A 12,160-nucleotide genomic window follows, 5' to 3' on the forward strand; every position below is an offset into this window, starting at 1 on the left:
GCATTATGGTGCATGCCTGTAATCCCAGCTACTCGGGAGGCTGAGGCAGGAGAACTGCTTGAACCAGGGAGTCAGAGGTTACAGTGAGCCAAGATTGTGCCACTGCACTTCAGCCTGGTGACAGAGCGAGACTGTCGCAAAAAAAAAAAAAAAAAATAGGTCAAAAGAAATAAGTAGAAATCTGGCATCCAGCCAGCTGACTGTGCACCCTTAAGGCTGGAATGAGGCCTTCCAGTCCCACATCTCCATATGCAGCAGAACAAGGGCACAGAACCATGGCGCAGTGGTTTAATAGCAAGCACTGTTTTTAGCCTTTTTCTCTTCTTTTTTTTTTTTTGGTTGGGGAAACTTCCTTTTCCTTCTCCCTATGTTCCTCACAAATCACATATAACCTTCCATAGTCACTCGGTGTATATACAAGTGACAGTAGAGAAACAGGGCAGGAAGCCCAGGCAGCACACGGGCCCCAGTTAGGGAGGTTAGGGATCCCGTTAGGGAGGGCGGTTAGGGATCTAGTTAGGGAGGGGGCTAGGGACTAGTCAGGCAGCTTAGGGACCTAGTTGGGGTTGGGACCTAGTTGGGGGGTTTAGGGATCTAGTTAGGGAAGGGGGGCTAGGGATCTAGTTAGGGAGGAAGTTAGGGATCTAGTTAGGGAGCTTAGGGAACCAGTTAGCGAACTAGAGGAAGACTTAGAAGGGTTGTGTGCTGCACTTGACCCATGCTCTGGTGAAAAGCAGCCAGAGTTGCATTTGCCCAGATTGGGGATTTGCTGGGAAGTATGATGAAGGAAGAGAGACAAGGATGTTTGCAAGAGACTATGAGGCTTGTCCCAGGAATTGAAACTGGGGAGAAGGAAAGGGAAGAACAGGAGGGGGCAGTGGGAGACAGCAGAAGATAGCAGGATCACTGGCCTGTGGGCTGAGAGGGGTTTGGAGCCAGGTACCAGAACAAGTAAGCTGACGAAAGTGGGATGCTCCACACAGGGTGCTTGCACTTACTGGTGATGGCAGGGGCTAGGGTGACAGCCCAGGAGAAAAACCTTGGATACCAGGTCACCTTGCAGCTGGGAGAAGCTTTAGCCAGGTACATGCAGCAGGAGAAGTGGAGGTCAGCCTCCAGCCTCCAGCCTCCTCTCACCCCACTGAGGAACCACCTGCAGATAAAAGTGGTGGTTTTGGGCCAAGCACAGTGGCTCGCACCTGTAATCCCAGCATTTTGGAAGGCTGAGGTGGGCAGATCACGAGGTCAGGAGATCGAGACCATCCCGGCCAACATGGTGAAACCCCGTCTCTACTAAAAATACAAAAATTAGCTGGGCGTGGTGGCACATGCCGGTAATCCCAGCTGCTTGACAGGCTGAGGCAGGAGAATCACTTGAACCCTGGAGATGGACGTTGCAGTGAGCCGAGATCACGCCACTACACTCCAGTGTACACTACACTACATTGCATTTTTTGAGACATAGCTAGACTACGTCTCAAAAAAAAAAAAAAAAAAGTGGTGGCTTTGGGCTGGGACATGGGAGGGCTATGCATTTGGATTTTTTTTTTAATTGAAATAGGGCCTCACTCTGTTGCCCAGTCTGGGGTGCAGTGGTATGATCACGGCTCACTACAGCCTTGACCTCTGGGCTCAAGCGATCTTCCTGCCTCAGCCTCCTTGAGTAGCTGGGACCACAAGCATGTGCCACCATGCCTGGCTAATTATTTAATTTTTTGTAGAGACAGGGTCTCACTATGTTGCCCAGGGTGTTCTTGAATTCCTGGCCTCAAGTGAGCCTCCTGCCTCAGCTTCCCAAAGTGCTGGGATTATAGGCAAGAGCCACCATGCTTGACCTAAATTTGTTATTTGTTGTTGTTGTTTTATTTAATTTTTAAAAAATTTTTTTATTTGAATCAATGGAACCCACTATATATATGTGTATGTGTGTATATATATGTGTGTGTATATATATATGTATATATATGTATATGTATATATATGTGTGTATATATATATATATATATATATATATATATTTTTTTTTTAGACAGGGTCTCGCTCTGTTGCCCAGGCTGAAGTGCAGTGGTGCAAAATCATAGCTCACTGCAGCCTCCACCTCCCGGGCTCAAGGGATCCTCCCACCTTAGCCTCTAGAGTACCTAGGACTATAAGCACACGCCACCATGCCTGGCTAATTTATGTATTTTTTTGTAGAGATGGGGTCTCGCCACATTGTCCAGGCTGGTCTTGAACTCTTGGGCTCAAGCAATCCACCTACCTCGGCCTCCCAAAATGCTGGGATTACAGGCTCCCTGCTCCCTTTTGGATTTCCACTCTGGGAACAGCCAGCTGCCAGGTCATGAGGACACTCAGATAGCCTGTAGAGACCCACATGGGGAAGAACTGAGGGTAGTCCATTATGCAGCAATAGATAACTAAGACAGGATGTGCCTAGAGAATTTGCTCTAGGACACAGTCCCAGTTCCCAGGGCATGGGTCCTGGTGTCTCAGCTGCATACCAAGCCTGTGGGCTGAGAGGGGTTTGGAGCCAGGTACCAAAGCATTCATGAGGGACATTGATGAGGTTAGAATGAGGTCTCTCCATGCAGGCTGGGCCAGAATTCCTATGGCAGTTGCTTCCTGTTAAGTCCAGGTGGCCTCATCCTGAGCAGGTGCAGCCCACTCCTCAGCCAAGGACAGTGGGACATCTCAGGCTTCCCTGCAAACACTTTCCTCTCCAGGGCCTTCCCCACAGATTCCAGCTGTGCTACTGTCCCCAGTTCAGTGGGGTGCTGCACACTGGTGCTCTGGCTGGGCTCCACCTTCTGCACATATATTTTCTTTTATTTTCTTTTCTTTTTTAATTTTATTGTACTTTAAGTTCCAGGATGCATGTGCAGAATGTGCAAGTTTGTTACGTAGGTAAACGTGCGCCACGGTGGTTTGCTGCACCTAGATTTGCTTTTTGTTTTTTATTTTTTGAGACAGAGTCTCTGTCACCCAGGCTGGAGTGTAGTGGCGTGATCATAGCTCACTGCAGCCTTGAACTCCCAGGCTCAAGCAATCCTCCTGCCTCGGCCTCTGGAGTAGCTAGGACTACAGGCATACGCCACCATGCTCAGCTAATTTTTAAATTTTTGTAGAGATGAGGTCTCCTTATGTTGCCCAGGTTGGTCTCCAACTCGGGTTCAAGCCATCCACCTGCCTGGGCCTCCCAGAGTGCTGGGATTACAGGCAGGAGCTACTGTGCCCAGCCAGATTTGCTTTTTAGATCCTTCTACATTTGTGGGGAAACTGGTGAACTCTGAATTGACCCTGGTGATCAGTTAATAGTAAGGGACCAGTGTTGGTTTCCACCAAGCTACCCTGGAAATGTAAGATGTTACCATTAGGGGAAACCAGGTTGGGGGACTCCCTATGATCTTCGCAGCTTTTCAGTAAATCTAAAATTATTGCAGTAAAAAACAGTAAAACATCTGGCTGGCTGGCAGAAGGGGAGGCAGCCTCTGTCCTGCGTGGCTGTCCCAGACTGGCTGGGGTGGCACTCTGGCTGTCCCTGGTCAGTCCCTAACTCAGGCTGCCAAAGACGGTCGCCAGTCTAGGGAAGAAGCGGCCCAACGCGCTCCCCAAAGACGTCGCTGCAGGCACAGGGTTTAGGAAGAACTTTTATTTTCTTCCTTCTGCTGCTGTGGGTTTTAATTTCCTGCCATTTTCATAATTAAAAAAAGAAGTGCTATTTTAGCACGAAACAATGTTTCTTTAGCCAAAGCCAGAGTGAGTGGGCAGCAATGGCCGCGCGCCCTGCTCTGGGTGGTCCCGACCCCGGGGAAGTCCCTGTGCAGAACGGGGGCTGCGGGGGCGGCAGGAGGAAGTGGGGGGCGCGGCACCCAGGCCTCGCTGTCTTCCCTTTCCCTTCGAGGGACCTCGCGCTGCAAAATCCGAAGAGCCCGGCTGGGGCGGGGTCGCGGGGTGCGCGGGAACCGGGGCCTGGGACGGGGCGGGGCCTAGCCAGGGCCTCCACGGAAGCGAGGCCAGGACTGGGGAGTGGGGGGTGGGGGGGTCGTGGCTGAGTGGGTGCCCTGAGGGCGGTCAAGGACCCCGCGGGCCTCTTCTCCTGCCTGGACACTGCGCTTGCCTGGCTATCACCAGTCCCAGCCCTGCCGCCCTGGGGAGAGGGAGAAGGCGTGCAGGTGAGCGCTACGGGCTGGGGCTGGCTCTGACCTGACACCAGGTCCCAACTGTAGTTGCTAAGGTCCTGCAACTAGTTAGAGAGGTGTTGTAGAGCCAGGTGCTCATGGTTGTAATCCCAGTGCTTTGGGAGGTGGAGGCAGGACGATTGCTAGAGCTTAGGAGTTTGAGATCAGTCTAGGCAACATAGCTAGACCCCCCCACCAAAAAAAAAAAAAAAAAACGAAATCGGTCGTGGTCTTATGGGCCTGTAGTCCCAGGTACTCAGGAAGCAGAGGCGGGAGGATCGCTTGAGCCTCGGAGGTCAAGGCTGCAGTGAGTCGTGATCGTGCCATTGCACTCCAGCGTGGGCGACAGAGCTGAGACCTTGTCTCAAAAGAGAGATTTTCGGGCCCTAACCTGGCATCTCTAAGTGCGAGCTCACTTGGAAATAGAGTCTTTGCCGATGTAACCAAGGTAAGATAAGGTTATTAGGAAGGGCCCTACTCCAATAGATCTGTGCTCCTCCTAAGAGAAAAGAGACTCAGGCGATGTGCAAGGCAGAGGCCACGTGACCACGGAGCCAGGGATCAGAGGTTGCCACCAAAGGTCTGAGGCAAGCACCGGAAGCTGAGGAGATACCAGGGAGGACCCTCCCCAAAGCCTCCCACCCTGCTGGCACCTTGTTTTCAGGCTCCTAGGCTCCAGAACGATGAGGGTAACTTTCTGGCATTTTGTGGTCCTAAGAAACTGGTAGGAGCGGGAACCTGGCCTGGGAGCCCCCCAGTCCAGTCCAGAGGTAGTGTTCATGGGGCTATGGGGGAGGAAGGAGGGCTCTAGAGGAAGTTGTCCCTCAGCTGAGAGCTCGCACAGCGAGAGGGGTAAAGTTCAGATTGGTGCTTGCCAAAGGTGGGTGTCTGACTGTCCAAGGGGTGACACCAGTGCGGGTCACCTCTGAGGCCTGGGGCTCTGCTTGCTTGGGTGGCCTCTCCAGGAAGCATCTTTGTGGGGAGATGGATTTCCAGTTGCCCCCACGACTGAAGCCTGGTCCTGATATGTGGTTTATTCTTGGAGGTGACCACTGGGACTCAGCCAGGACACAGGGAGGGAAGTGGGGCTCCTCAGCTGGATTTCAGCCCCCATGTCCATCACCCCTACCCGATGGGGACCCCAACTCAGTGGAAGCTCTGCTCACATGGCCCTAAGAGGCCTTGCAGTGCTGCCCTTGGGCTTCCAGTGGCTGCAGCTGTCACTCCCATGGGCCATCCCAGGGAACCAATGTGGCCTTTGGGCTGAGTGGGAGCTGGGACAGAGCCAGAACTTGGGAAAGGTGAGGTTCCAACCCGGAGACCAGAGTGGTTAGGCTGGGAAAGGGTTGTTGGGAGGGCCTCAGGGGAGGCCCTTCTGGCCCTAGCTGCGGCTCTGCTTCAGCTCTGGACCTGCTGGGCCCTGAGTTGAGGGGATGGGGCCTCCTTCCCTCCCCTCCTTGGAGGCAGGAGCCACCTGGGGCCTGGGAGGCGGGGCAGCTTGAGGCTGCTGGTTTCCACTTGGAAGCCCTCTTTATCTGGCCTGGGACGGAGAAAGGCTGGGGTCAGAGTGCACACATCTCCATGGAAACGGCAATGAGCCTGGCCCCTGGGGGACCCCAGCCCTGTGGGGGTTGGGGAGGCCAAGCCAGGGCTCAGGGGCTCCTTTGGCAGCAGCCTTTATAGGGAGGTCAGGGCCAGGAGGTACCAGACATGCAGCCATGAAGAGCCACATGGAAGGGAGAGAGGACTCTCCCTCCTAGGGCTGTAGGCCCTGAGTAGGCGGTGACTATACGGCTGACAGCCAGATACAGAGCTTTTCGTTAGAGAAAAGAGGAGAGTCATAAAGAGATTAAAGAGCCAGGCTCTGCCTGGCTGCTACTGTCCCTGACCACCTGCTCAGGGTCACTCTGGTCCCACCCAGGACCCAGGCCCCGCTCCGATGGCCTGTACCAACCTGCCTGAGGCCTGCCCTCCAAGGACGACTTCTCTCAGCCTTCAGGGATGGGGAAGCAGCCCTGGCTGTCAGAACGTCCCAGCAGTCTCTGTGCCCAAAGCATTACCCTGCGGGACTGAAGCATCAACAGCCCACCCTGGAGCCTCTCAGATGAGCCCGGACGACACACCTGCAAATGGCGAGCACCTCAGACGAGGGCCTCCTTTCCGCAGGAACCCACCAGAGGTGTCTGGTGCGGACCTGTTCCTTCTTGCTCTTTTTTTTTTTTTCTTGAGACAGAGTTTCTCACTCTTGTTGCCCAGGCTGGAGTGCAATGGCACAGTCTCAGCTCACTGTACCTCTGCCTCCCAGGTTTAAGCGATTCTCATGCCTCAGCCTCCCAAGTAGCTGGGACTACAAGCATATGCCACCACACCCAGCTAATTTTTGTATTTTTAGTAGAGATGGGGTTTCACTATATTGGCCAGGCTGGTCTCAAACTCCTGACCTCAGGTGATCCACCCGCCTCGGCCTCCCAAAGTGCTGGGACTAGAGGCATGAGCCACCACCCCGGCCCCTTCTTGCTCTTGAGAGCAACAACACACATCGCCTTTGGGGAGAGGCCCCTGGTGTGTGTGTGTGGGGGGATTGGGGTGCAGAGCTGGCCAGACTCAACTGCAAGGGGCTCAGGACCACCCGAGAGAGCTTGTCTGGGCTCAGGGAGGCTTGCGCTGGGCAGGAAAAGACCAGCCAGCCCCAGATAACTTTCTTCCAGGAAATCCAAACACACACTTGCATGTGTTGAATACATTTACATGTTGATTGTACTATTCAAAATGCAGATTTTTGGGGAAAAGTAGCCCTAATTCCAAATCTGTAGAATGAAATGAGATGTGGTGGTATTCCTCTTACGCTGCGGGGATTTAAATGGTGTTGGGGAGGTAGACAGTTTCCAGGCCTGTGCCCTAGAGGGATCCAGGGCCTGGAGAGGCACCTGTCCTCCTCCCCACAGCCAGAGGGTTTTGGCCACTACCCAAATAAGACACCTTCTAGGGGCTTCTGGTGGCCTCAGGTGAGTTCTGGCAGTGACTGCTGTGGGGCATCTCTTGGCCGCTGCCCAAGCCTACACTATGCACAGGACCCAGCAGGGCCTCACCACGTAGGGTTTGGAGGAGGAATAAATAATTTGATAATCCCTTCCAGTGGGGACCCTGGGGAGGGCTTCCTTGGGCCCCAGTGTACTCCGGGCCAGTCCCTTCTCTAGTGGGAAGCAGAGGTAGCCTGTGGCTGATCACCGAGGGGTCTGTTCCAGCAGGCTTTGTTCTGTCCTGCCCTTGAGGCTCTTCCTGGACCTAAAACCTCAGGCTCCCTACTCTCATCCTGCTTTTGATGGACCCTGCCTGGCCTTAGGGACCTTTTTCTCATCCCTTTAGACCAGGAGGAGTACTGGACTTTGAGCACTCCTGAGTGGCTGGAGAGACCTGGAGGATTTAGGAGTAGGCTGGGCCATGGAGCCTTGCGTCACAGCACCTGGTCTCAACAGCAGGGCACAGCTGGGTGCCTGTTTCTATCTGCAGGTGACCTGGCTGCAAAAGTCTGGAGGCTGCACCAGCAGATGTCTTGTTCCGCAGCCTGAGGTGTCTGAGTCCCAGGAACCAGGGCTGTGGGTACACAGCCTTGTCCAGAGAGCTCACGTCTCAGCTCCCACCACCCCTTCTAATACCCACAGCAGCACCTGGAGTTGGGGCCTGGGCAGGAATCCAGTCTACCAGAAAAGAAATGAGCGCAGGCTGAGCGCCATGTGCGAGGCTCCCAGGCTGGCTTCTGCCACGTGCTTCCCATTGTACAGACAGCCTCCAAGGGGTGGAGGGGCTTGCCTGGCTCCCACAGCTCCAGCGCCAAAGGCTGTGCCTCTGCTGTGGGGACAGTACCCAGGATCCTGGGAAGGAAAAAAGCCACTGCTCACCTCCCTCTGCCCCTCATACCTGTCCCAGCCCCGAGTCTTCGTAAATGTCTCTGTCTCCACTGCCTGAGTTCAAGCCTGCTGTCCTTGCCACCTCTACCCCTCACCCCCATGTCCCCGACTCTAATCCAGCCCCTTCAGCTGCCATAGGTCAGCTTCTCCAGAAGCCTTATTAGGGACAGTATCAGTCTGCTCGGGTTACTGTAGCAAATACCACAGACTGGGTAGCTTAAACATTTGGGAGGCCAGATACGTGAGATCAAAGCATTTCCAAAGTTGGTTCCTTCTTAGGTTGCCAGGGAGAATGGGTCCCATCCTCTCACCAGCAGTCGTTGGCATTCGGAAGCATTGCCCTGACCTCTGCTTTCCTCTTCACATGGCCTCTCCTTGGTGTGCCTGTCTCCAAATTTTCCCTTTTTATAAGGATACAGTCATATTGGATTAGGGCCCACCCTAATGACCACATTTTAACTTGATTACTTCTGGAAAGACCCTCATCCCCAAATGAGACCACATTCTGAGGTACTGGGAGTTAAGACTTCAATGTATCTTTTTTCTTAACTAATAAAGTTTAATTTTTATATATTTATTTTTTCAGACAGAGTCTCGCTCTGTTGCCCAAGTTGGAGTACAGTGGCATGATCTCGGCTCACTGCAACCACCACCTCCTGGGTTCAAGCAATTCTCCTGCCTCGGCCTCCAGAGTAGCTGGGATTACAAGCACGCACCACTGTGCCCAGCCCAATTTTTGCATTTTTAGTAGAGACTGGGTTTCACCATGTTGGCCAGGCTGGTCTCGAACTCCTGACCTCAGGTGATCCGCCCGCCTTGGTCCCAAAGTGCTGGGATTAACAGGGGTGAGCCACTGCGCCCAGCCTAAAGTTTAATTTTTAGAGCAGTTTTAGGTATACAGCAAAATAGAGCAGAAAGTGCACCCAGGTCCCATATAGCCCCTTCTCACCCACACACCCAGCCTCCCCCATCATCCGCATTCCCCACTAGAGTAGTATATTTCTTGTAATCAGTGAACCCACATTGTCACGTCATGATCACTGAAAATCCGGTTTTGGGTTCACTCTTGGTGCTGTACGTTCTTGTATCCACTGTTACAGTGTCACACAGAGTATTTTCACTGTCCTAAATATCATCTGTGCTCTGCCTACTCATCCCTCCCTGCCCTAACCCCTGGCTAATCTTTTTATTGTCTCCATAGTTTTGCCTTTTCCAGAATGTCATGGAGTTGGAATCACACAAGTTTGTAGCCCTTTCAGATTGGCTTCTTAGTCAGTTTTCTGTTGCTTATAGCAGACTACCTGAAACTGGGTGATTCATAAAGAAAATGAATTTATTTACTTATTTTTGAGACAGGGTCTCACTCTGTTGCCCAGGCTGGAGTGCAGTGGCAGTGGCACAGTCATGGCTCACTCAGCCTCAACCTCCCGAGCTCAGGTGATCCTCCCACCCAGCCTCCTGAATAGCTGGGACTACAGGCATGTACCACCACACCCAGCTGATTTTGTAGTTTTTTTTTTTTTTTTTTTTTATAGAGATGGAGTTTTGTCATGTTGCCCAGGGTGGTCTCAAACTCCTGAGCTCAAGGGATCCCCCATCTCAGCTTCCCAAAGTGCTGGGATTACAGGCGTGAGTCACTGTGCCTGGCCGGAATTTATTTCTTACAGTTATGGAGATTGGGAAGTTCAAGGTCCAAGAGGTGTGTCTGATGAGAGCCTTCTTGCTGGTGTGGACTCTCTGAAGCTTCCCAGGCGTCCCATGACAAGGGGGCTGAGCATACTAACTGCTAGCCCAGGTCTCTCTACCTCTTGTTATTTTTATTTTGAGAGATGGGGTCTTGCTGTATTCAAACTCCTGGGCTCAAGCAGTCGTCCCCCCTCAGCCTGCTGAGTAGTTGAGATTACGCCCTGATAATGAGGATCTTCTTTTCACGTGCATCCTTGCCATCTGGGTATCTACTTTGGGGAGGCGTCTGTGGAGGTCTTTTGTCCACTTTACTATAGACAGGGTCACATTCTGTTGCCCAGATTGGAATGCAGTGGTGCAATCACAGCTTGCTGTAGCCTCATGTAACTCTTGGGCTCAGGAGATCCTTCTGTCTCAGCCTCCTGAGTAGCTGAGACTACAGGCATGCACCACCATGCCCAGCTGTTTTTTTATTTTTTTGTAGAGATAGGATTTCAATGTTGATCAGGCTGGTTTCAAACTCCTAGCCTTAAGGGATCCTCCTGCCTTGGCCTCCCAAAATGCTGGGATTACAGGTGTAAGCCACTGCCTTTTTGTCCACTTTTTAAGACGAGGTCTTGCTATGTTGTCCTGGCTGAAGCGCAGTGGCTATTCACAGGTGCAGTCCCACTACTGATCAGCATGGGAGTTTTGACCTGCTCTGTTTCTGACCTGGGCTGGCTCCCCCCTCCTCAGGCAACCTGGTGGTTCCCAGCTCCTGGGAAGTCACCATACTGATGGCAAACTTAGTGCAGACACCTGACTGGCATAGCCCAGAACTAAATGATCCACCTGCCTCGGATTTCCAAATAACTAGAACTACAGGTGTGAGCCACTGTGCCTGGCTTATTCACTTTTTGTTATTTTTTATTTTTTGAGACAGTCTTGCTCTGTCACCCAGGCTAGAGTGCAGTGGCATGATCTCGGCTCACTGCAACCTCCACTTCCCGGGTTCAAGTGATTCTCCTGCCTCAGCCTCCTGAATAGTTGCGATTACAGATGCCCGTCACTATGCCTGGCTAATTTTTGTATTTTTTTTTAGTAGAGACGGGGTTTCACCATGTTAGCCAGGCTGGTCTCGAACTCCTGACCTCAGGCGATCCACCTGTCTCGGCCTTCCAAAGTGCTTGTATTAAAGGTGTGAGCCACCATGCCTGGCACTGGCCGTAATTTTAAAAATTCATTTATTTGTTTGGTGATAGAGACGAGGTCTTGCTATGTTGCCCAGTCTGGTCTCCAACTCCTGGGCTCAAGCAATCCTTTCACTTTGGCCTCCCACAGTGCTGGCTCACACTTCTCACAGGTGTGAGCCACTGGCCTTGGCTCCATTTTGAATTAATTTTTGTTAAGGGTGTAAAGTCTGTGTCTAGCCTGATTTTTTTTTGCATGTGGACATCCAGTTGTTCCAGCACCATTTGTCGAAAAGACTGTCTTTTCTCCATTCCATTTCCTAGAGTCAAGCTCAGCTGACTCCATTATGTGGTCTATATCCGGGTTCTCTATTCTGTTCATGGATCTATTTGTGTATTTTTCCACCAGTACCACAATGTCTCAATTACTGTAGCCTTATAGTAAGTCTTGCAGCAACCCTTGTTTTTTTGGGGGGGCCACAACTCAACCCATACAGGGGCCCAGCACCTGTGAAGGGACAGCAGCGGAGGCGGCGCGGGAGAGGAAGAGGAGGTGAACTGTGGCCACTCCTTGGTGGCTGGAGGTGGGTCCGGGGAGGCAGGACCTGGGCTGAGGTGTCGTTCTATAGCCCGGGTAGCGCACTTTCACAAAGCTCTCCTTGACCAAACTCTCGCCAGGCTCCCCTGGGCCCGCTTCTCAGCGAGGGCTCAAGCTGGGCCTGTAAAGCTCGAGCAGACACTAAGGCTCAAGGCCGAAGGTGTTCCCGGCTCCCTGAACCTGCGTGACAGAAAACCCAAGGCCGCCGGCTCCGGCAGCACCTGGAGGCAGGAGCCGAACTTCCATGGGCGGCGGGCAGCAAATCACACCGGCTTCAACCGCCCGGCCCGCCCACTTTTTGCAGCGTCTGACTTCCCCGCTCGCCCGCGCCGCTTCCTCCTCCTCCCTGTGCCGCACGCAGTCGCCCGCGCCACCCCCTGAAGCCCGGCTCTACCGCAGCGGCGCTGGGGTAGCGCCCCTGGACCAGGCGTCCTCCCCTCGCGAGCGGTCCTCCCGCAGCCGCGCCCAGCTCCGGGTCGGACCCTCGCCCGGGGGACTCGTTCACGCCCTGCGGCCGTTAGGCGGGAAGAGCACGACGCCCTGCCCTGCCCCGTCGTGGCGTCTGACCCTCTCCGCCACGTCTGTTCTGAGGCTCCGGGCCCGCCACGGCGGGGCCTCTGC

At 53.3% G+C, this 12,160-nt stretch overlaps 1 pseudogene, besides 2 other annotated features; it reads right to left on the reverse strand.

Annotated features, from left to right (window-relative positions):
- RN7SL671P (RNA, 7SL, cytoplasmic 671, pseudogene) lies at positions 10,473-10,534 on the reverse strand (annotated as a pseudogene).
- Positions 11,642-12,143: an enhancer, noted in NCBI's record as "H3K27ac hESC enhancer chr4:1872049-1872550 (GRCh37/hg19 assembly coordinates)". NCBI's record gives its function as "activates a minimal SCP1, AML or CMV promoter by ChIP-STARR-seq in naive H9 embryonic stem cells {active_cell/tissue: H9 hESC(naive)}" and the evidence as "EXISTENCE:reporter gene assay evidence [ECO:0000049][PMID:30033119]".
- Positions 11,877-12,136: a silencer, noted in NCBI's record as "silent region_15149". NCBI's record gives its function as "represses an Ori minimal core promoter by ATAC-STARR-seq in GM12878 lymphoblastoid cells {active_cell/tissue: GM12878}" and the evidence as "EXISTENCE:reporter gene assay evidence [ECO:0000049][PMID:35858748]".

Source organism: Homo sapiens, chromosome 4 (genome assembly GCF_000001405.40).
Source record: "Homo sapiens chromosome 4, GRCh38.p14 Primary Assembly".
Lineage (NCBI taxonomy): Eukaryota > Metazoa > Chordata > Mammalia > Primates > Hominidae > Homo > Homo sapiens.